The sequence below is a fragment of the Homo sapiens genome, chromosome 21, assembly GCF_000001405.40.
Source record: "Homo sapiens chromosome 21, GRCh38.p14 Primary Assembly".
Classification (NCBI taxonomy): domain Eukaryota; kingdom Metazoa; phylum Chordata; class Mammalia; order Primates; family Hominidae; genus Homo; species Homo sapiens.
In genome coordinates this window covers 33756666-33781586 of record NC_000021.9, presented here as the reverse complement: position 1 = coordinate 33781586, position 24921 = coordinate 33756666, and the positions used below count along the sequence as shown (strand labels likewise).

Sequence of the window (24921 nt, the reverse complement as noted above, 5' to 3'; positions counted from 1 at the left end):
AATAAAGAAAAGGTCAACTTTAAAAATAAAACACCTACTGTGCAAACTGTTCTGCTGAACTTGTTTTAATTGGTCATTGAGTATCTGTTTTTCTGGAATAAGTCTTCCAAGCATTTGCTGAGATTCCTGGGAAGGAAGGAGGAAAATAGTAATGAATGACAGGGAAGGCTACCACATCTACATTAAGATCCAGGCAGAGCTTAAGTCAGTTTTCTCAGACTCTTCCCAAATCCTGCATGGTGAAGCTGCATTTAATTATTAATTAGGTGTGGCTCCTGCTTTCTTTCCAAGAAATTAACTCTGTTTGCCAAATGCTTTTCCCTACACAGTTATAGCTTCCCTGATATTTCTTATATTTTTGTTGACTTACCGGATATTTATAAGCTTCAAAAAATGTACATTAAGTACTACTCCACAGAGATAAATTGAAGCAATGATCTTCCAATGGCACCGGGATCAAATGCAAATGCAGTGATCCTACTGTTTGTAAACTAACTCAGTGGTCTAAATAGGAGCTACCCTATTACTCTATCCTGAACTTTGATACTTACTAAGGCTGAACTTAGGTTTACCGTATACCTGAAGTTAGAAACAGAAATCAAAGATTTTTAACAACTAGAATCTTAGCTGCTGTATATATTTTTCCACCACACTGGATGGAATTTTAAACAGGTACACAAAAGTTTTGAAGCAACTATTTTTTTAACTGACACAAGAAAAAAGTTAAGCCACACTGCACAGGCTGTTTGGAATTTTTGTGGTTAACTTGCCAAGAACAGTATCTGCTTAAATTTAGCCGAAAATATCCTGTATAGTTTCTGCATGTTTCAGTAAAATGGCAGCCTTCCTAGGTTATAATAAAGAATATTTGACTTTTATTTTTACCTTGATAAAAAATGAGCTCTATGTATTGACTTTTTGTTTGAAAAACTAAAAATGCCTTAATTAAAATTTTTCATCAGAAGCTAAAAACCAGTCCATTTTGGAATAACCACCTTTAGATACAGACTGGCTTATGTGGAATAAATCTCTGTGTAATGCATGTCTAAATGGTAGAAAGAGTTAACTCAATAGCTAGAATTTAGAAGCATCTTCTCCTATGAATAATCCATACCAGAAAAAAAAATCTTGATAAAACAGAATACACAAATCAGATCTGACTTATCTCCAAAGCAAGTATCTGCTAATCCCTGTACAGAAAGGGAACCAATATCTGATTACCTACTACATACTTTTCTTTCTTCAAAGAATGTTTTATTTTTCACTTCATTACATTTTTGGGAATCTTGATTTTTATCATATTATCAATAAGTGAACAGTCTAAACATCAATCTTTAATAAAAATTGTACTTGGTCATATAGTATTAGGTGATAATACTTAGTTTAATAAACACATGGCCTTCATCCCTAAATTTTCCAGGAGAATATTTTATGAAACTTTACCTCAAGAGTTAACAAAAGACACATAAAGAGAGTTAACACATAGAAAAATACACTTAGGCCAAGGTGGGCAGATCACCTGAGGTCAGGAGTTTGAGACCAGGCTGGCCAACATGGTGAAACCCCATCTCTGCAAAAAATATAAAAATTAGCCAGGCGTGGTGGCGCTTGCCTGTAATCCCTGCTACCGGGGAGGCTGAGGCAGGAGAATCACTCGAACTCGGGAAGCAGAGGTTGCAGTGAGCCGAGATCGCACCACTGCATTCTAGCCTGGGCAACAGTGAGACTTTGTCTCAAAAAAAAAAGAAAAGAAAAATATACTTTAAAAAGGTGCATGCATTTTGTAATATTTTAAAATAATTTCCAGCAATCAACTTCTGGTACTTTTTCCTTTACAAATCTCAAATTTCAAATGTATAAGGAGTTTCTTAGGACTTCAAAGTACATGAAACAATAATTGAACAGAAATGAAAGGAAGATATACAAATCCACAATGATCAGGATTTCAGTGTTCCACTCTCAGTAGCTAATAAAAGTAGTCACAAAATCAGTCAAGACACAGGAGACTTGAAGACCACCATGAATCAACTTGATCTAACTGATATTTAGGGAACACTCTACCTAATTACAACAGCATGCACATTCTTTTCAAGCGCCCATAGAATATTCCCCAAGACAGAGCATATGCTGAGCCATAAATCTCAATAAAGGTGAAAGAATTAGAAGAAATTACAAAGAAAATTTAAAAAAGATTTTGAATTGAATAAATATGAAAATGCAACATATTAAAAATTTGTGGGATATGGCAATGTCAGTGTTTAGATGGACATTTAAAGCTTAAAATGTTTGTATCAAAAATGATGAAAGGTCCAAAATCAATTATCTAAACTTCCTCCTTATGAAGCTTGAGAAAAGAAAATTAAACCCCAAATAAGTAAATGGAAGAAACAAGAGAAAAAGAACAAAAATAAAGCAGAAAACAGACATACCACAGAGAAAATCAATAAAGCCAAGGGCTTACTAAAAAAAAAAAAATCAATAGAGCCAAGAACTTATTTTTTAAAAATAAACAAACTCCAGATAGACTGATCAAGAAAAGAAGAAGGAGGAGAGATAGAGTAGGAGAAAGGAGAGAAGAAGGGGTTAGGAAGGAAAAGGAGAAGGAAGCACGGAGACAGAGTGAGAGGACACAAATTACCAATATCAGTAAAGAAAGAAGAGACATCACTACAGATACTACAGACTTACATACAATAAGAGAATATTATAGGCCGGGCGCGGTGGCTCACGCCTGTAATCCCAGCACTTTGGGAGGCCGAGGCGGGCGGATCACGAGGTCAGGAGATCGAGACCATCCCGGCTAAAACGGTGAAACCCCGTCTCTACTAAAAATACAAAAAATTAGCCGGGCGTAGTGGCGGGCGCCTGTAGTCCCAGCTACTTGGGAGGCTGAGGCAGGAGAATGGCGTGAACCCGGGAGGCGGAGCTTGCAGTGAGCCGAGATTGCGCCACTGCACTCCAGCCTGGGCGACAGAGCGAGACTCCGTCTCAAAAAAAAAAAAAAAAAAAAAAAAAGAGAATATTATAAACAACTTTATACAAGTAAATTTAATAATTTAGATAATATAAACAAGTTCATTGACAGATAATCAAAACAGATTCAAGGAGAAGAAGAAAATCAGAATAGCCCTATATCTGCATAATGAATTTTATAATTAAGTCTTCAAGAAAGCTCCAGGCCCAGAGGCCTTCACTGGTGAATGCCACCAAAATTTAAAGAAGAAATGCTATTTCAACACAAACACTTTTAGAAAATAGAGGAGGAAGGAATATTTTCCAACTCATTTTCTGAGGCCAGCATTACCCTGATATCAAAACTAGACAAGAATATTAGAAGAACACTAAAAACCAATATCTCTGTTGAATTGAATTCAACAGATTTAAAAAGATCCTTAATAAAATAATGGGAAATGGAATGTAGTGAAATATTTTAATAAAGGGTAATATACCATGACCAAGAGTGGTTTATCCCAAGAATGGAAGGCTGATTTAACATTCAAATGGCAACCATGTACTTCATCATATTAACAAAATAAGAAAGAAAAAACACATACTTATCTCAATAGATGCGGGGAAAAAACATATGATCTATTTCAACACCCATTCATCATAAAAACCCTCAGCAAAAGGAGAAGTCCATCAACCTGATAAAAGGTGTTTACAAGAACCCTGGTTAACACTATACTCTATGGTGAGAGAGCTTTCCTTCATCGAGAGGGAACAAGGCTCTTCCCACTTCTATCCAATATAGTATGGGAGGTTCTGGTCAACAAAGTAAGACACACAAAGGAAGTTAGTTAAGCAATCACAGATATAAGGTCAATATACAAAAATAAATTCTATTTCCATATACTGGCACCAAACAACTGGAAACTAAAATAAAAATATGCAATATACAATAGCATCAAAAGCCACAAAATACTTAGGGATAAACTTTACAAAGTATCTACAAGACTTGGACACTGCAAACTACAAAACATTGCTGAGAGAAATTTATAACTACCAAAATAGAGATTTATGCCATAGATTTACTATTGCTGAGATGTCAAATCTTCCCAAATTGATTTATAAATTCAATGGAATTCCAACAAAATTCCAAGCATTTTTGTAAAAACTGATAAGCTGATTCTAAAATGTACATGGAAATGTTAAGGACCTGGAATAACCAAAAACAATTCTAAAAAGAACAATAACAGAGAATTCGTATCACTTGACTTCAAAAATTAGGTATCAACAGGGTGAGGTACTGGTAAAGGACAGACAGATCAAAAGAACAGAATAGAGTCCAGAATAGACCATTACAAATATGTTCAACTGATTTTCAACAAGCTACCAAGGTAACTCAATGGGAAAAAAGCCAGTGTTTTTAATAAATGGTGCTATAACAACTGTGTATCAGTATGTAAAAATATAAACCTCAACCTTTACCTTATACTATCTGCAAAAATCAACTTGAAATAGCTCATAGACCTAAACATATAAGATACAACTATGAAACTTAAAATTTTAAGTTTTTTTCAATTTATAAAAACTTGTAAAAATTATTTTTTTAAGCCCCAAAAACTTCTAGAAGAAAATAAAATATTTGCAGTCATGGGGTAGTCAAAGATTTCTCAGATAGAACATAAAAAGCATGAACACCAAAAGAAAAAAAACGGTAAACTGAACTTCATCAAAATTTAAAACTTCTGCCCTTTAAAAAATACCACTAACAAAAATTAAACCCAAGCCAGATTGGGAGAAAATATTTGCAAAACACGTATCTGACAAAGGACTTGTTAAGAATATAAAAAGAACTTTTACAAGTAAATAGTAAGACAAACAGCCCAATAAAAAATGGGCAAAAGATTTGTTCAGACACTTCAACGAAGATGCACAGTAAAAAATACTCGCCAATAAACATGTAAGATGATTCCCAACATCATTAGCCTTCAGGGAAATACAAATTAAATGATCAGAATGTAAAATGGTACAAACTCTTTGCAGTTTGTCAGTTCTCTTTCTTTCCTTTCTCTTTTCTCTCTCTTTTTTTTTTTTTTTTTGAACAGGGTCTCATTCTGTGGCCCAGGCAGTCAGTGGCTCAATCATAGCTCACTGCAGCCTCGATATCGTGGGCTCAAGTGGTCTTCCTGCCTCAGGCAGGTACTACAGGTGAACGCCCCCATGCCAGCTAATTTTTAAGTTTTTTTTTTTTTTTTTTAGAGATGGGGTCTTGCTATGTTTCCCAGGCTGGTCTCAAACTCCTGAGCTCAAGCAATCCTCTTACCTTGCCCTCTCAAAGTATTGGGTTTACAGGTGTGACCCACTGTGCCCAGCCTGACAGTTTCTTATGGGGTTAAATATACACTTACATGACACAGTAGTTCCATTCCTAAAAGTTTACCCAAGAGAAATAAACCATTTCCACATAAAGACTTGTACATAAATGCTCACTGCAGTTTTATTCATAAAAGTTCCACACTGGAAAGAACCTGAATATCAACCAGTAGGTGAATGGACACATAAGGAAACACTACTCAGTGATGAAAAGAAACAAAAGAGTCATTCACTCAGTAACATGGACACATCTCAAAAACATCATGCTGAGAAAAAGCCTAACATAAAGGAATCACAGGCAAATATGATCATCCACAGGCAATATTTACATGAATTTGATGCCCCTGTAGTTCAGCACTTGATACCAAACCAGGTGATATTATAACAACTTTGGATAGGCTTTAAAATGAAGACAGAACTACTAAAAGTGCTCTGTATGTCTCCAACTATTTAGTATACATATAGCTCTCATATGACCCCCTAAAATACTTAAGTGTACTTATTTATTGTAATTACCACAGTAAAGCCAAAGTCCTGTTGGTGGACTACAGGTTCTGTGTGATCCAGCTCCCACCTGCTCTACCCAGTAGTCTCCTTGCTGTAACTGGCATCTCAGAGTCCTGCTACGACCTCAGGACTTTGGCACTATTTCCCTGCCTAGATCTTGCTCTGCCAGATACCCACATGGCTTAGCCTGTCATTAATTTCAAGTCTCTGCTCAAATGTCACCATCCAGAAAGACCTGTCTTGGCTACCTTAGTTAAAATCACAACATTTCCTATCCCTAGGACTCTCTATTCCCTTCCCTACTCACTCTCCATAGCACTTTTCATCTTCTAATACAGTACACACTTTATTTTGTTAGTCTCTGTTCCTCCTGCAAACAGAGGGTAAGCTCCCAGAAGACAGAGTGTCTGTCCCTGCTGTAGCCTCAGAAACTGCAAAAGCACCTGGCCCGAAGCAGTGCTCAGTAAATATTTGCTGAGTTTGTCTCCTTGACAGGCTACTTTTCACACAAGGACCCTGTCTACTTCATTTTTGCTTCCCAGTGCCTAGTACAAGACAGTTGCTTAATGTTTACTGAATAAGTAAGTAAATGAAATGAATTAGAGAAAAGGATGCCAGTTTAATATAATAGCTTTTAAGAGGCATATTTCCTCACCTGTAATTGTTGCTGTAGATGGGTGATTTCGGCAATTCTCAACTCTCTAGATTTGTTTGTGCTCTCAATTTCTTGCCTTTGGGTGGTCAATCGACATCTGATATCTTGAAGTTTCCCTTCTAGTTGATGCTTTTTATCATTCTTGAACAAATGAAAGATAATAAAAATTATTACTGTTTTTAATGGTTCCATCTTAGTATATTTTCAAAGTATAACCAAACTTCACTCACTAGAGCTTCTAATTCAAATTCCAAAGTCTTTTTCTTTGCTTTCAGTACAACTATGTCCTCTTGTTCTTTGTTTCTTTGATTTAGTAGTTCTTGCCTTCGATTCCGTTCCCACTCAAGTTGTCGTTGCCTTTCAAGTTCCCGTTTTGCAGCCTGTGACATTTACAGAGACAAATTACTAATTTTTCAGTTCTTACACTACACAATGTCTTTTCACAAAAATGGCATCTAGGAAGTCTTTCCTTTTAGGGATGAAATATTAAACATTACAAGAAATCACATTAGAAAACAAAAAATTACATAAAAATACAGTATTCCTTCTATGGGAATAAAGGGAATACACAGAACTGGGTATTATATTTACATAATACTATATTTACGTAAGATGACAGGATTATTTCCCCATTAGAATTCCATTCTTTATGCCTTCAAGAATGCTTGATGTGCTAACTAAAAATGCTCCTTCTTATTTACTGACACGCCAAGAAGGAAAATTTATGTAGTAAAATCAAACTAAAACACCCCTGAACAAAAACAAACAAGAGTTGATTTTACTCCACCAAAAGAGAAATTATTACTTAACTCGTTTTAAAAGTCTGCGACTCCCCACTTCCTAATCATTCATTTCCTTTTTACCACAAAAGCTTTTGCTCCCTCCAACGACTGGCTCTGACGACTGCTAGATAGAGTACATATCAGAGCATCTGACAGTCTATGGGAATTGCCTCTGACTCATGGGTCATCCAACTACACCTGATACATGGTAAATGTCTATTAAATAATTCTGAATAAATACTCTAGAATATCATTTTTTTGGTACGTTGAAGAAAAGTTTGCCTATCTTTGTTCATTCTGAAAATTAAAATTTTGTTAGTGTCTGTCTGAACAAAAAGGAGTTACGGGGCCGGGCGCAGTGGCTCACGCTTGTAATCCTAGCACTTTGGTAGGCCGAGGCAGGCGGATCACCTGAGGTCAGGAGTTCGAGACCAGCCTGGGCAACATGGCGAAACCCTGTCTCTACTAAAAATACAAAAATCAGCCAGGCATGGTGGCTCACGCCTGTAATCCCAGCTACTCCGGAGGCTGAGGCAGGTGAATCACTTGAACCCAGGAGGTGAAGGCTGCAGTGAACTGAGATCGTGCCACTGCACTCCAGCCTGGGCAACAGAGCGAGAGTCTGTCTCAAAAAAAAAAAAAGGAGTTATGGCTATAAGTTTTGTTTCTTTCTTTTTTTGAGACAGGTTCTTGCTCTGTCACCTAGGCTGGAATGCAGTGGCCTCCAACTACTGGCCTCAAGTGATCATCCCTCCTTAGCCTCCCAAAGTGCTGGGATTACAGGCTTGAGGCACAGCACTCAGGCTATTTTTTTACATCGAAAAATTCCTCATTTTTATCTTTCATTCACATGAAAGAACCATGTGTTGCTTCTGCAGTAATGTACTAAAATTGGAAAGAGAGACAAGATTTGCTTAGCCCCTTTCCAGGTATGGCGCTAAATTTACGAAGCCTTCCATAGAATATAGGGAGGATGTCCCAGACATATTTTTAAAAGAGTTTAAAAAGAAGGTTGCATGGGCCAGGCGCGGTGGCTCATGCCTGTAATCCCAGCACTTTGGGAGGCTGAGGCGGGTGGATCACCCGAGGTCAGGAGCTCGAGATCAGCCTGACCAACATGGTGAAACCTCATCTCTACTAAAAATACAAAATATTAGCTGGGCGTGGTGGCGGGCACCTGTAATCCCAGCTACTCAGGAGACTGAGGCAGGAGAATCGCTTGAACCCAGGAGGCAGAGGTTGCAGTGAGCTGAGATCATGCCACTGCATTCCAGCCTGGAAGTGACAGAGCGAGACTCTGTCTCAAACAAAAAAAAAAAAAAAAAAGAAGATTGCAGAACAATGTAATTGGTATGATACTATTACAGTGGTTTTTAAAAAATTATACAGCCCTTACACTCTCCGCCATATAAACCTTTATATTTTTATATAGGTGTATACAGAGAAAACAGTCTGGAAAAACACTTTACTGGTATCAGTGGTTTGTTACAAAATTGTATCATCAAAAACTTGTACATTAATGTTCATAACATCATTGTTTATAATAGCCACAATGACCATCAACTGCTGAATGAATTAAAAAATGTGGTATACCCATATAACGAAATATTACTCAGCCATAAACAGGAATAAAGGACTGATTCATTTTACAATGTGGATGAACCTTGAAAACATTATGCTAAATGAAAGCCAGAAACAAAAGTCCATATATTGATGATTCCATTTATAAAAAATGTCCTGAATAAGTAAATCTAGAAAGATAGAAAGTAAAATTAATGATAGGAGCTGGAGGGAGAAAGAAATGGGGAGTAGCTGCTTAATGGGTAAAGAGCTGGAGTGATGAAAATGTTCTGGAATTAGGGACGATGGTTGCACAACTTTGGGAATATACTAAAACTACTGAATTGTAAAAAGACAAAGATGGCGTGAATAGATCACTTGGATAATTCTGAAAAGGGGTGATCGCACACTAACTCCGGGTGGCTCCACTCTCGCCTGCTTACCTCTCGCCTCTCAATTTCTTTCCTCCTCTCCTCCTCTCTCTGCCGTTCTAGCTCCCGCTGCTTTTCCAGTTGCTTCTCCAGTTCCAGTTGTCTTTTGCGCTCTTGCTCCTGGCGCTCACGCTCCTTCCTCTCCTGCTCCGCCCGCTCCAGCTGGGCCAGGCGCTCCTGCTCCTTGCGCTGCTGTTCCAGGAGAGCTTGCCTTCGTTTCTCCAGTTCCAGGTTGCCACGTTCAAAGTTCTCCCGCTTCTTATCTTCAAACGTTACTTCAGACAAGGAACACAGCAACTATGAAAACTCAAGATTTTCAACGGACTCTTTTCAAAGGAAAACTCACCAATGTATTTGAAATTTGTAGTACAAACCCAAACCCAGAACTCCCTAAGCTTCTGTGTCCTTGTTAATGAGCACAACGAAAACCCCCTTTGCCTAACCTCTCTGTTTATATCTTCTCCTCCACGCCAAACACTGTTTCTAAAAGATCCTTATCTAGCAGTTCTACATCACCATCCAGACTCCTTTCCTTCCCTGTTACTCCATCCTTTCCCTTCTTCCCATGAGCTTGCCCTAGGAATTAACCCCCTCTCTTCTGGACCATGAGTCTCTGTCTCTCTCCCTCCTTCCCTTTGCCTTGTAACCGTGCTGATGAGTCCTCTATTCTAACAAGATTTCTCAAAGCAGAGTGAAAGGTGAGCATTCGGCTTTTCACACTGAAGAACAAGCTGTGCCCTGATCCCTATGGAGATCACAGTCAGTCAACAATTTTTTCTAACCCATTATTCAGTTTCCTTCTTTAACACATCAATTATAAATTTAGAATGATTACTCAGTTCTATCCTTTTTTTTCTAATACTTTATGTCCATTTTATTTCTTCATTTTCTACAATCCCATCATCCTTGTCCCTTACTGTCCTCAGCAGTGTCTATTTCATTTCTGTGTTGGCCTCACGCAATCCTCCTTGGTACCAACGCCGGCCAGGGGAGCACTCATTGCCACCCTGTGCAGCATGCCAGTCCCTGGTCCACATCTAAGAACCATTGCTTCTCACTCTGCCTTGAGATCTGCAGCTGTGAGCATCCATCTTTGGCTTCTTCCCACATTCCTGTTTGGACTTCACTGCTTTAGACAGACTTCCTTCACGTACTGTAGTCAGCGATTAGAGATGAAAGCGGGCAAGTATGTTTTGGTTTTCTTGCTCACCTTTGGTGATTTCAGAGGAGATGGTATCCTCTACTCTGATATCTTAAAATTCAAAGTCCTGGCTGGGTGCAGTGGCTCACACCTGTAATCCCAGCACTTTGGGAGGCTGAGGTGGGCAGATCACTTGAGGTCAGGAGTTCCATACCAGCCTGGCCAACATGGTGAAACCCAGTCTCTACTAAAAATACAAAAAAATTAGCCAGGTGTGGTGGCAGGCACCTTTAACCCCAGCTACTTGGGAGGCTGAGACAGGAGAATCGCTTAAAGCTGAGAGGCAGAGGTTGCAGTGAGACAAGATTGCGCCACTGCACTCCAGCCTGGGTGACGAGCAGACTCTGTCTCAAAAAAAAAAAAAAAAAAATTCAAAGTCCCCCTCCCACAGAAAGGGATGATGTAATGATACATGCTGCAAGGTGGATGAATCTCAAAAATATTGTGCCAAGTGAAAGATGTCAGTCATAAACAGTCATATATGATTCCATTTATATGAAATATCCACAACAGGTAAATCCCAAGAATCAGAAAGCAGATTGGTGGTTGCCAGGGGCTGGAGGGAGTGATGGATATGGAGTTTTGTTGTGAGGTGAGGAAAGTATCTTGGGACAAGAGAGGTTGTGGCTGCAAGGCACTGTGAATGCACTAAATGTCATTGTTAGGAACTGAATGTTTGTGTCGCCTCACCAAAATCCATATGTTTAAGCCCTAATTACCCTAATGTGATATTTGGAGATGGAGCCTCTGGAAGGTTAAGATTAGATTAGCTGGCCAGGCACGGTGGCTCACGCCTGTAATCCCAGCACTTTGGGAGGCCGAGGCAGGCAGATCACCAGAGGTCAGGAGTTCAAGACCAGCCTGACCAACATGGAGAAACCCTATCTCTACTAAAAATAAAAAATTACCTGGGTATTATGGCACATGCCTGTAGTCCCAGCTACTCGGGAGGCTGAGGCAGAAGAATCGCTTGAACCCGGGAGGCGGAGGTTGTGGTGAGCCAAGATCGCGCCACTGCACTCCAGCCTGGGCAACAAGAGCAAAACTCCATCTCAAAAACAAAATAAAACAAAAAAAATTAGCCGTTGAGAGTGGGGCCCTTATGATAAATTAATATCCTTATAAAAAGACAGGGACTGCCGAGCGCAGTGGCTCACACCTGTAATCCCAACACTTTTTGGGAGGCCAAGGTGGGTGGATCACCTAAAGTCAAAAGTTCAAGACCAGCCTGACCAACATGGTGAAACCTCCGTCTCTACTAAAAATACAAAATTAGCTGGGTGTGGTGGCACATGCCTTTAGTCCCAGCTACTTGGGAGGTTGAGGCAGGAGAATCGCTAGAACCCAGGAGGCGGAGGCTGCAGTGAGCCGAGATTACGCCATTGCACTCCAGCCTGGGCAACAAGAGCGAAACAACCGTCTCAAAAAAAAAAAAGGCAGAGACAGAGATAGAGAAAACAGAGAGAGGAGAGATCTGTCTCCCTCTGCATGCACAAACCAAGGAAATCCCATGTGAGCAAAAAAACTGAAGGCTGCTGTCTGCATGCTACGAAGAGGGCCCTCACTGGGAACCAAATCTGCACACCGTGATCTTGGACTTCCAGCCTCCAGAACGGTGAGAGATAAAATTCCCACTGTTCAAGCTGCCCGGTCTATGCTATTTTGTTATGGTAGTCCAAGCAGACTAAGACAGCCTCTGAACTGTACATTTTGTATTATGTGAATCTCATCTCAATTTAAAAAACTCTCCAAGTCTCTATACATCTTTTTAATTCCAGCATCTGGCAATATTCCTAGTATGTAGGAGGCATATAATAAACGGCTGTTGAAGGAATGAATGCACAAATGAAATCTCTGATAATGTTGCTTCCTGTTCAAAATTTTAAATGAATGTCTACTAAAAACAGAAAAAGAAAATTCTGCATTCCAAGCATTCCTGTCCTTATCTGCCATTGAAATTTCATTCTCATTGTTATCAAAACCTGAACTATTCTCACTTCCACTTGTGGTGACCCTATTCATCTTCAACTCTCAACTCAACTGTGACCTCTTCCACAGACATTTAATTCCTCATATCTTCCCCAGTCTACACCAACCAACCATAAGTGAGGTCTGTTGTGCATCTATAATACTCTCCAGGAATTTATCCCACTCACATACTGCTGAAGTGATTGCTTATATGGATGTCTTAAATCCTCTAATATATTTTAAAGGTTCTAGAAAGTATGAACCATGTATTAACATTTAGATTCTTTGCTCAACATGCAGGCTTGCACGTAAAATATTTCCAATAGTATTTCATCAGTGAACAAAAGGTAATTTAGTTTAGACAATAAACTGGGACAGCCAGTGTTCTGACCAGACCAATTAACTGCTGAGCATCTTAAATGCAGCAAAATGACACTGACAAAGTATTTATCATAAAAGACTCCATAATTTCATTTGCTTCTTAGTATCATTATCATCTCATCATTAATAATTCATAGCCACCTTAGAATATTTTAATAGTATGATGGATTTATCATTGTAAATGAGTATTATTTAAAATAGGTTCAGCTGGGCACAGTGACTCACGCCTATAATCCCAGCACTTTGGGAGGCTGAGGTAGGTGGATCACTTGAGGTCAGGAGTTTGAGATCAGCCTGGCCAACATGGTGAAACCCCATCTCTACTAAAAATACAAAAATTAGCCGGGCGTGGTGCATGTGCCTGTAGTCCCAACTACTCCAGAGGCTGAGGCAGGAGAATCACTTGAACCTGGGAGGCGGAGGTTGCAGTGAGCCTAGATTGCGCCACTCCACTCCTGCCTGGGTAACAGAGTGAGACTCCATCTCAAAAAACAAAATAAATAAAATAAAATAGGTTCACATTAAATTTAAAATAGGTTCCTGCAATTAAGGAGTTTCCAATTCTCTTATAACAACATGAGAAAACAACAGTAGATGATTTGATTTTCTATTTCTGCACTGGTGGTATTAAGCAATCACCTTAATACTCATCAGTTTTTAGTGCTGTATATTCTATGGATAACATTTACATAATTTTTGTTTAGCAGTTTATAATCAGATTTCAAGTTACAAGTTAGAACAACGGTGCATTAGCAGAGTGCATAATGTTCTTATTTCTCTATCCAGACCCAAATCCACAAGCTTAATTAACAATTATCTCCAACTAAGGTCAGTTAAGTTACAAGGCAAAAATGTCAAAAACTAAATTTATGTTTACCTCTATCTTTGTCTTAGAGATAGGAAATCTCTAATTTCGTTTAATCTAAATGATTTAACTCAACATAAAGGCTGCCTTACCAGGTAATTTCTTTTCTAATTGTTGTTGTTCATCTTCTAAAACTGGTTCCTCTGGTAGCCTCTGATCTACAGATGTTGAGCTTATGACAGATATACCACTGCCAGATCGAACTCTTCTGCAATTGCGGGGAAAAAGAAAAATAGATTCACACAGAGCTGTCTGGGTGGAGTTGGACAAGTTATGAAGAAGGATTTTTAAAGATTTTACCATGCCATGGAGCAAATTTCATTTACAGTAAGGAAAATATAAAGATTTGGTCTTCTCTATTTACAAAGAGTTTTTTAATGAATATTGGAATGTCATCAGACTCTGAGTGCCAAGCTTAAGAATCACCACCAAAATTGAAACAATTCCAAAGGATGAAAGTAGTTAATAATCAAAAAGTGGTAAGAACAATGCCTGGGACATGGTGAGCACTAAGTGGGAGCTGCTATTTCCATTGCCCTCTCAAGTAACCTTAAATTCCTCCAAGGGAAGATCAGCAGCTCAGCTCACTAGGAGCATCTCTCTTCCCTTTCCCATCTCTCCATTTCACCCCCTAAGAAACACATGCAATGTCTATATAGTTCGTAAAACAAATCACTTTGTTTACTAATTTCTTCCACTTTACACTTTTATTTATTTATTTATTTATGTCATTTTATTTTATTTTATTTTTTGAGACAAAGTCTCACTCTTGTCCCCCAGGCTGGAGTGCAATGGTGCAATCTTGGCTCACTGCAACCTCCGCCTCCTGGGCTCAAGCGATTCTCCTGCCTCAGCCTCCCGAGTAGCTGGGATTACAGGCACCTGCCACCACGCCTGGCTAATTTTTGTATTTTTAGTAGAGACGGGGTTTCACCATGTTGGCCAGGCTGATCTCAAACTCCTGACCTCAAGTGATCCACCCGCCTCGGCCTCCCAACGTGCTGGGATTACAGGCGTGAGCCACCGCACCACCCTCCCCACTTTACACTTTTAACTTTGCTGTGTTTAAACCGTCTCCCAATCCTTTTTACGCATTCATTATCAGCTTCCAATGTTGCAGTTGTGGGATTTCACAGGCAAAGTGCCTCAGCTATCTGTTGCTTCCTACATAGTCACAGTTTCCTCAGCTTGCTCCTGTACCACGTGTGTGCTGACAGTAATGGCTCTATTTCTCTTCATTTAAAGGGGATTTTGCCCCAGTCCTTCCTGCAGTTTGAGGACTCAGGTCAGAAATCTTAATCTTTCTTTCATTCTCCTTTGTACTTGTAAGATCTCATATTCAGTTTTTATGTTCAAAGCCAGGAGACAGAGCTGTCCTGGACAGCGTGTGCATGCATGCATGGATGTAAATGAGGATGCCAGTCACAATACTGGACCTCAGGTGACTCTCTTGACATCTTTACTGAGACTGTCTTTCAGTCCAGGGTAATTTTCTTTGTCTTCCTGATTATAATTTCTACATTGCTAGCAGCTTTTGTTACCACTGAAATGTGTGGAATTCACAAGTGTGATCTCCTTGGTTTCTTCTCTATGCATAGGCTCATGCAGTTTCTCTCTTGCTGCTGGCATCTGTTGTGAAAATTTCTGGTAAGCATTGATGACATAGGTTGGTAGAAAATCAACAATCTATTGATGTTTTACTTCATTGTTTCACTAATATACTTCAAGTACTTTGAAGAACAAAATGGGCCCAAGATTAACATAGACCTAGATGAGAGTCTCTAGAATTCACGGATACTTAGTTTCCTTGTCAGGGATGAAAATCAGGTAAGACACATAGTCAATAAAGCCAAGTTTGGAATTCATATACTCCGCATACAATTCCTGATCAGAGCCCATGTTCCTTACCTAAAAGAAGGTGGAATGTATTCTGGAGGCAGGACAGGTGGCAGTGGTTGGCCAGACATAGCTACATCAATGAGGTGCATTGCCAGGATAAATTCCTCTGCTGTAAGTTTTCCATCTTGATCAATGTCAGAAAGATTCCTATTCAACAAAAAGTTAACTGTAATCCGGTTTCATGAAAATTCATGCTTTTTACTATTCATTAGTGATTTAAAAGTTATGTTTTCTTATTGACCACAGGCCAACTGAGTCTCTTTGTCCCTCATTTTGTCAAAATAGTACCTATTTTATACTGCTGCAAAGATAAAATTACAGGTAGTTGGGACAGTGTTCCTCATTCAACAAATGCTATGATTATAATGATACTCTTCCCCAACCTTTGCATATTTAACATATAATACACTCATATTCCATGAATCTTTTTTAACAGATGAGCTCTCACTGTTACCCAGGCTGATGTGCAATGACATGATCACAGTTCACTGCAGCCTCACTGCAGTCATGATCACAGCTCACTGCAGACTCACTGCAGTCATGATCACAGTTCACTGCAGCCTCACTGCAGTCAAGATCATAGTTCACCACAGCCTTTCCGGGCTTAAATGATCCTCCTGCCTCAGCCTCCCAAACGTGAGATTACAAGGTGTGCGCCACCATGCCTAGCTAATTTTTAAAATATTTTGTAGAGATGGGGGTCTCACTGTGTTGCCCAGGCTGATCTGTCCTGGCCTCAAGTGAGCCTATCAAATCGCTGGGATTATAGGCATAAGCCACCATACCCAGCTCTATATTGTTAAATGTTCTGCTCTAGACCAGGAAATGACAAACTATCAGTAAAGGGTCAGGTAGTAAATATTTTACAGTTTATAAGACATACAATCCTTATCATACTGAATTCTGTCATTTTGGCAGAAAGTAGCCATAGACAACATATAAATGAATGGGCATGGCTATTTGTACGATAAAAACTTTCTTCACAAAAACAGATGCAGGCCAGATTCGGCCCACTGGGCAGAGCTGGCCACCCCTTAATCTAGGCCTACACAGTGGATCTTTATGAACTCCAGCCACAGAGTCTAAGTGTTTCCTCTTCCTCAATCTCAGGATTCAATCTCCATCATTCTTCATAATGAACTTGCCCAAGTAGCTAATTACAGCAAACATTCTCCTGGCAAGTCCAAGAATGTGATTTTACTAAACAATTTCTGGACCATCAAAAGAAGATACATGACAACACATCCATTCACTAGAATGTCAACAGGACAAATGCAATGGGAAACTGGTTTTGCCAATGCCAAAAATTAAGAAACCTTCTTAATTCTGAAATTTCCTTAGGTGCTATAAACTTTTTTTGTTATAATTTCCATAAAGTAGAATGCACACCTTCTAGAGTATAGGTCTGAGAGTTTTGACAAACATGAACCACAACATACAGAATAGTGTCAGCTCTACCTAAAATTCCACATCTGATTGTAGCAACTCCCTCCTTTGCCCCCATCCCCTGGCAACTGCTGATCTTTTTTCTGTTCCTCTAGTTTTGCAAGATACCCATATGCAAGATACCCAGTTTTAAAAAGAAATGCAAATGAAATAAAATGAAACCCCTGCCCGCTCTTCCTTATTCTGTTCCTTTTTGTGTCTCACAATTAGCCAGTCCTAGGTAAACCAGTTAGAAGGTGGCTGAAATTCTTGTTTTTTCACCACACTTACCTAAATTATGATTATAAGCATTTAATTAAAATATCTTTTTTAGTGTGTAGCACCAGAATATAACATTCTAACAGAAGAAGCCTCAAGCGTTTTTCTCAAATAGGATAAGTTATAAATGAGAAATTTAAAATAAATATTTCAATATAATCTGGTATCATGAGAACAACCTAATAAATTGTCAACCAACCTCCATTAATGTTAGATCTTAAGTTTATATTTCAGGGGGCCCTAGGATACTGTTCAATACCCTGATTTAAAGAGTTCTGGGTGTGTCAAAGATATAAGATGTTTATTAACTGGTCTGGTCTACTGCCAAAGGCAAGCTCTTTCATACAAAACAGAAGGGAAGAGAAGGGCAAAGGAAGCTGCATTAGAGCTTGATCATTTGTGAAACAACCCTATCAATGTGGCCTGCAAGAAAATCACGAACTTTGCAGTGAGTCTTGTAGACAAAGTTTATTTTCCAGGGACAATCACCAACATACAGCTATAACATGCACACTTCTTAAGAAACCATTCTAGTTAACATTTAAATTTAAGGAAGCCTGTAGGACCCAGGCAATGCTCATCGATAGCTATTCAAAATCATTACACAATAGAGACATTATGTGCCTTTTGAGGAGAGTACACAGAGACCTCTCTGGCACAGTCTTATCAAAAACAAAACAACAAAACAAAAAAAAAAATCAAATCTGATCCGCAATTCTCAACCAGGGAAGATTTTGTACCCCAAGGCACATCTATCAAAGTCTGGAGACATTTCTGATTGTCATGCTGGGTGTGGAGCTCATGCTACTGGCATCTAGCATCCAGTGAGTAGTGGCCACAGATGCTACTGAACATCCTACAGTATACAGGACATCCCCCAACAACAAAGATTTATCGGGCCCAAAATGTCAATAGTGCTGGGGTTGGGAAACTTTGCTCTAGATCTAATTATCAATTTACAGGAAATACAGAAACAAATTAGACAATCCCACAGTGACGCACTCTTCAAAAGTTAAGCCATTAAGAAACTACAGGACAAATGATCTGGTTTGTTTTTAACGGAGTTTTTTTTTTTTTTTTTTTTTTTTGGTTGGGGGGCGGCCTGGGGGACTTGGGAAAAGAAGCAGAGAACAAGACAAGGGGAAATTTATAGATTAAAGGAGACATAAAAGATGGAAAACTCAAGTATTGCAAAATACAGGCTTATTTCAGTCCTGAGCTGAACAAATGAACTATAAAAACATTCTGAGGCACTCTAAGGAATGTGAACATTCCCTGATTAATTTAATGATAAGGATGACTACTGAAAAACTTAGGTGAGCTATTGCTGTTATGACTGTGCTAAGAAGAAAGTCGGTCAGGCGCAGTGCTCACCCCCGGAATCTCAGCATTTTGGGAGGCTGAGGTGGGCAGGTCACCTGAGGTCAGGAGCTCGAGACCAGCCTGGCCAACATGGCAACACCCTGTCTCTACTAAAAAAACAAAAATTAGCCAAGCGTGGGGGTTCATGCCTGCAGTCCCAGCTACTAAGGAGGCTGAGGCAGGAGAATAGGCTGAACCTGGGAAGTGGAGGTTGCAGTGAGCCAAGATGGCACCACTGCCATCTGGATGAAAGAGTGAGACTCCATCTCAAAAGTAATAATAATAATAATGAATGAAAAAAAGGAAAATCCCTCTCTTTTGAAGATAAAAGCTAAAATATTTGCAGTAGAAATTATATAATAACTAAGATTTGGCTTAAAATAATCAAAGAGGCTGGGCATGGTGGCTCACGCCTGTAATTCCAGCACTTTGGGAGGCTGAGGCGGGTGGATCATCTGAGGTTGGGAGTTCAAGACCAGCCTGACCAACATGGAGAAACCCTGTCCTACTAAAAATTCAAAATTAGCCGGGCATGGTGGTGCATGCCTATAATCCCAGCTACTCAGGAGGCTGAGGCAGGAGAATCGCTTGAACCCGGGAGGTGGAGGTTGCGGTGAGCCGAGATCGTACCACTGCACTCCAGCCTGGGCAACTAGAGTAAAACTCCATCTCAAAAAAAAAAAAAGAAAAAGAAATCAAAGACAGGGAGAGCCAAGACTGGTCACGAGTTGAGAATTGTTAAGTTGTATTATCACTCCTTCAGAATTTATTGTATTAATCTGCTTTTGTATTTTTCAAAATTGAGAGGGGAAATAGTATTATAAAAGAGGCAATCATTACAACTCACTGAAATTAAGCAAATTCTACATATTCCCCCATAAAAAACGGTATTAATCTAAAACCCATGAGGCCACACCAATCTAACCAAGTTTCCACTTTATCCAAACCAAAGAACTTTTCATTCCTTACCATATTGAAGCCAGCTGAGCCTGTGGTAAACTTGACTGCATAAGAATAGTTCTTGCTTGGGGACCTAAACAGGAACCAGGAAAAGGACATACAGATGAGTCAGCAAATACTCACTGTACAGGAGGACCAGGGTTCTGCGTATGTGGACTACTCCATGACCTCATGCAATCACAATGCTTTAAATAACATTTGCTACTACCGCAGGGGCTTTGTAAAAAGGAAATTAAGCCCCAATGAAAAAGAGGAGAAACACAGAGCACAGCATCTGACACATAATAAATTTTTGTTAAATGGATGTTTGATAAAGAATGACCATGTGAAAGATTTAGAGTTTCAAAATATAACCTGACCTTTTGTCCACATTACCATCTTTATTTGTATTGGGCTTTATTTACAAACTTGAAAGTTATTCTCTTTAAGTTTAACATCTTTTGCCGCTGCTACCACCTGCTGTCTCCACCCTGCTCAACCTCAGGCAAATTCAGGGAAGATTCGGAGAATCTTAGAGGAGGAAGGGACCTCGGAGAGATCTCCGGGAAACTGTTTCACTAAACAGACTTAAAAAGAAAAAAAAAAAAAGTTGCAGGAAGCGCTAATAGCCAGGATTAAAACACATTTCCAGCCTGGTGTGGTCACTCGTGCCTGTAATCCCAGCATTCTGGGAGGCTGAGGCAGGCAGATGGCTCGAGCTCAGGAGTTCAAGACCAGATGGCAAAACCCCATCTCCACCAAAAGTGCAAAAAATTAGCTGGGAATGGTGGCATGAGCCTGTGGTCACAGTTACTCGGGATGCTGAAGTAGGAGGATCGCTTGAGCCCCAGAGGCGGAGGCTGCAGTGAGCCAAGATTATGCCACTGCACTCCATCCTGGGCAACAGAGTGAGACACTGTCTCAATTAAAAAAACAAAACAAAACACATTTCCTATGTTAGCCAAGAAAAAAAAAAAAAAGAAGAATTCCTGGAATTTCTACTCTTCTCTCAAAATAAGCTCTCATTTCTTAAAATAATCATAAACATCTTCACTTCTGGTATGAAAGTGGCCTTAGACATCAGACAAACGCACAGTAGGAGACTCAGTTTAAATAAACTACAGTCAGAGAGGGAGAAATAAATACGTCTTCCTTTCCAGCACTGCCTCTCAAGATGTGGTCCCAGGAAGACTGCTGGACAGAGGAATGGAAGGCTGTGGCAATTTTGTTGGGAAGATTCTGGTGTATATGTTTTTGCTTTTTGCTATTTCTTTATTCAAACGTCACCTCATCAAAAACCACAAAACTGGATGTGTTTTTGCATGGCCAGCAGTAGAGGTCAGGGAACCAAGGAGCTGTAGGCTCTAGTCCTGGCTTAGTCTAGACTTTGCTGAGTGACTGGGCCAGGTAGTCTGGATCCTAGTTTGCTCATTTCAGATAAACCAGTCTATGATCCATTGGGGCAATGAGCTTAGCATCACATTAGCACATGAGAGGTGCTCTAATGGCAGGTAACATTACTGACAATAGTTCAACTTTTATTTACATATAAAATCCTGACAGAAAAGCACACATACGGATACATGTGGATATATACATGTGCACATGTACACAGCTGAATTAATTTTCCAAAGTGAAAATACTCAAACACTATGGAGGTCATGAAAGAGAGTATAATCGCACCCCAGATGCCCCTATTTGCCTCTCTTTTAGACTCAGCTACCACCAAGGTAGCCTAACTTCTAACCAAATAGCCTGTCCGCTGTTCCACCTGGCTTATTTTGCTCAATATATTGTCGTGTAGAGTTGTAGAACATTAATCCTCACTGCTATGGAGTGTATCATTGTGTCATTACATCCTAATTCATTGTCCATTCTACTGTTTTCTTTTCTTTTCTTTTTTTTTTTTGAGATGGAGTCTCGGTCTCGCTCTGTCACCCAGGCTGGAGTGCAGTGGCGCCATCTTGGCTCCCTGCAACCTCCTCCACCCGGGTTCAATGATTCTTCTGCCTCAGCCTCCTGAATAGCTGGGACTACAGGCATGCGCCACCACACCTGGCTAATTTTTCTATTTTTTTTAGTAGAGACAGGGTTTCCCCATGTTGGCCAAGCTGGTCTCGAACTCCTGACCTCACGTGATCCACCCGCCTTGGCCTCCCAAAGTGCTGGGATTACAGGTATGAGTCACTGTGCCCGGCCTGTCCATTATACTGTTGATAGGCATTCAGTTAGTCTTCAATTAGGGCTACTATTAATAGTGAGCATTCTAACTTTTGGTGAATATATGAACACATTCCTGCTGGATGTGTGTGCATACATGAGCACGTGTGTGTTTTGGGAGCATCTAAGAATAAAAAACAATCTACTGAATTCATGTGAAGATTCTAAAGGACTGTGGTACAATGGAATGAGCAAAGTTCAGGCATCACTTTCTTTAGTCTGTAACATTGTATCTAGAATGTTGGTAACAAAGTAGAATTAACAAAACTTTAGTGGGTGATTTAATTTACACTTGTAACAATTGCCCTTACTCCAGAACTATAAAAAAGGAAGTTAATATTTTATCTATTACACATAAAAAGCCTAACAATAAATGTGAAGAACTAGCTCTAAACCTGGATATCAGGGGACTTGGATTCTAGTCCTGACTCCCTAATGGCATGTGACATTAACAAAACTACTTTAACTTTCTAAAATGAAGTTCTTCCATCTGTGAAATGAGGAAAATAATCTACAACAGGGATTGGTAAATTATAGCCCTTAGGCCAGATCTGGCCCACTGCCTGTTTTGGTAAGCAAAGTTTTATTAAAACAGCCATATCCACTGATATAAGCATGATATATGGTTGTTGTCATGCTACGATGGCAAAGTTGAGTAGTTGCAGCAGAGAACATATGACCTATGAGCCTAAAATATTTATTGTGCTATTCTTTACAGAAAATGTTTGCCAATCCCCACACTAGAAGATCACAATTATCTCTTGTAATTCTACTATTTGTCTACATATGTCCTAAATCAATGTTGCAAAATATTAAAAATAGATCAGCAACAGCTAAGATAGCATCTTAGCACATTTGGACAACACACAGTTGAGCTTTGAGTGCACAGAACTCTTCTGTGGAAACCTAGGTACATAAAGGGATATCGGTTTTGGAGTACTGGCTTATAAGGGAACATAGGAATAAAACCAGAAATCCCAAGCACACAAACCCCACTTCTGGCATCCATGTTTGGGCAGGGAAGTATGGCTAGAAAGGAGAGAGTAACTACATGAAATGAGCTTTATTTAAAACAATGACTAAGACTTTAGCTTTTCTGATTAATAGATGAATTACCAAATAGCATATTCATTGTTTCAGAATGCAACAATAAAATACCTCTTTGAGAAGAAGGGCTAGCATTATTAACAGGAATACCAGAGTTCTAGAGCTTCTTACATAACCTTAATTAAAGAATGATCCCTCTCTATTTTATAAGGCAGTCTCTTTTAAGGGCATGCAACAGTTACACATCAAGCCATGAAGGAAGAACAGGGTGTCCAACAGGATGTATCGGCTAAATCAACCCAGATAGTCAGTGGGGTAAACAGTGCCACTATTAAGGCCAGACGCGGTGGCTCACGCCTATAATCCCACCACTTTGGGAGGCAGAGGTAAGCAGATCGCTTAAGCTCAGGAGTTCGAGACCAGCCTGGGGAACATGGCAAAACCCAGTTTCTACAAAAAATTAGCTGGGCATGGTGGCACATGCCTGTAGTCGCAGCTACTTGGGGGCTGAGGTGGGAGGATCCCCCGAGCCTGGGAAATCCAGGCAGCAGTGAACCATGATTATGTCACTGTACTTCAGCCTGGGTGCCTGTAATCCCAGTACTTTGGGAGGACAAGGTGGTAGGACTGCTTGAGGTCAGGAGTTCAAAACCAGCCTGGACAACAAAGATCCCACCTCTAAAGAAAACTTTTTTAAAAAAATTAGCCAGGTGTGGTGGTGCATGCACGCCTGTAGTCCCTGCTACTCAGGAGGCTAAGGTGAGAGGATTGCTTGAGCCCAGGAGTTCAAGGCTGCAGTGAGCTACTATCGCACCACAGCACTCCAGCCTGGGTAACAAAGCAAGTCTCTGTTTCAAAAAAAGAAAGAAAAGAAGTGCTTTTTAGCTCCTGAAAACAAAAACCCACAAAAAACAAAAGCAAGAAGGATGAAAAACAAGAGATTACAAATATAAATTATATATTTCTTTTGGGCCATGTTATATACTGAAACCTTTTCTCAACTTTCTTGATATTTTGCTTCTCCTGCAGCTGAGTGAACTGCTTTGGGGATTCTGACTTCATAAAATTATTTTTATAATTGTGATCAAGACAATGACCTTTATGTTCCATCCACCTCAACAAATCAGCTGTTTCCATCAACATTCTAATTTAGTATAAAACATACTTCATATTGATTCCTAAGTACATAAAGGGAAAAAAAATTAAATTTCTATTGTTTATTCCCATTTTAAAATTTACTGTAATAAATTATTCTACTTGACATGACTATACAAAGGTCTGGCTCAAAAGTAAAATTCCCACCTTAAATTCTTGCTGGATCAAAGTAGCAATAAGTATGCAGATAAACAATATCAAAATCTGCTTTCTTTCCAGTATATTTCAAATTTTACTTTCTGCCTCAGATATTTAAAAGTTCTAAATGCTCAAGTGCCTGGGTCATTATATTTGGAATGTAGATACTGCATTTCATTCATAAAACACACATCCCACCAAGAAAGAGAGAATTTCTCAATCAATGTCTCAATTGAATACTATTTTAATCAACTCACAGCAAACACCAACGTTTTCAAGAAATATTTTTGGATTCATTGGCAATGTAGTTCTGGGTTTGTATGGAGCACTGGTGTCAAACAAACCATGTAAAACAGTACTTAAAAATATGCTATTAAATATACCTTCAGTGGGCCGGGTGTGGTGGCTCATGCCTGTAATCCCAGCACTTTGGGAGGCTGAGGTGGGTGGATCACCTGAGGTCAGGAGTTTGAGACCAGCCTGAGCAACATGGTGAAACCCTGTTTCTACTAAAAATACAAAATTAGCCGGGCGTGGTGGTACATGCCTGTAATCCCAGCTACTTGGGAGGCTGAGGCAGGAGACTCACTTGAACCCAGGAGGTGGAGATTGCAGTGAGCTGAGATCACACCATTGCACTCCGGCCTGGGCAACAAGAGTGAAGCTCCATCTCAAAAAAAAAAGCAGAGCCTGCATAAGGTAGGCTGGTTTTGACAGCTACTGCTTTATGAGGCAGTATGACACATCGAGAATCTGTGTGTATTTACTATTCACCCATTCAAACATAAATA

The 24921-nt window shown here is 39.6% G+C and overlaps 1 protein-coding gene across 30 annotated transcripts in view; it reads right to left on the bottom strand.

Moving 5' to 3' along the window:
* Positions 1-24921, bottom strand: part of ITSN1 (intersectin 1) — a 257361-nt gene that overhangs the window by 118275 nt on the left and 114165 nt on the right. For all 30 annotated transcript variants that reach the window (XM_017028428.2, NM_003024.3, XM_017028431.3 and 27 more), the window contains 7 exons: positions 19601-19664; positions 15575-15712; positions 13759-13874; positions 9264-9526; positions 6709-6858; positions 6479-6619; positions 39-126 (listed from right to left, as the gene is read on the bottom strand). In XM_017028428.2, the coding sequence (XP_016883917.1) occupies positions 39-126; positions 6479-6619; positions 6709-6858; positions 9264-9526; positions 13759-13874; positions 15575-15712; positions 19601-19664 (960 nt within the window). The remainder of the gene's footprint in view (positions 1-38; positions 127-6478; positions 6620-6708; positions 6859-9263; positions 9527-13758; positions 13875-15574; positions 15713-19600; positions 19665-24921) is intronic.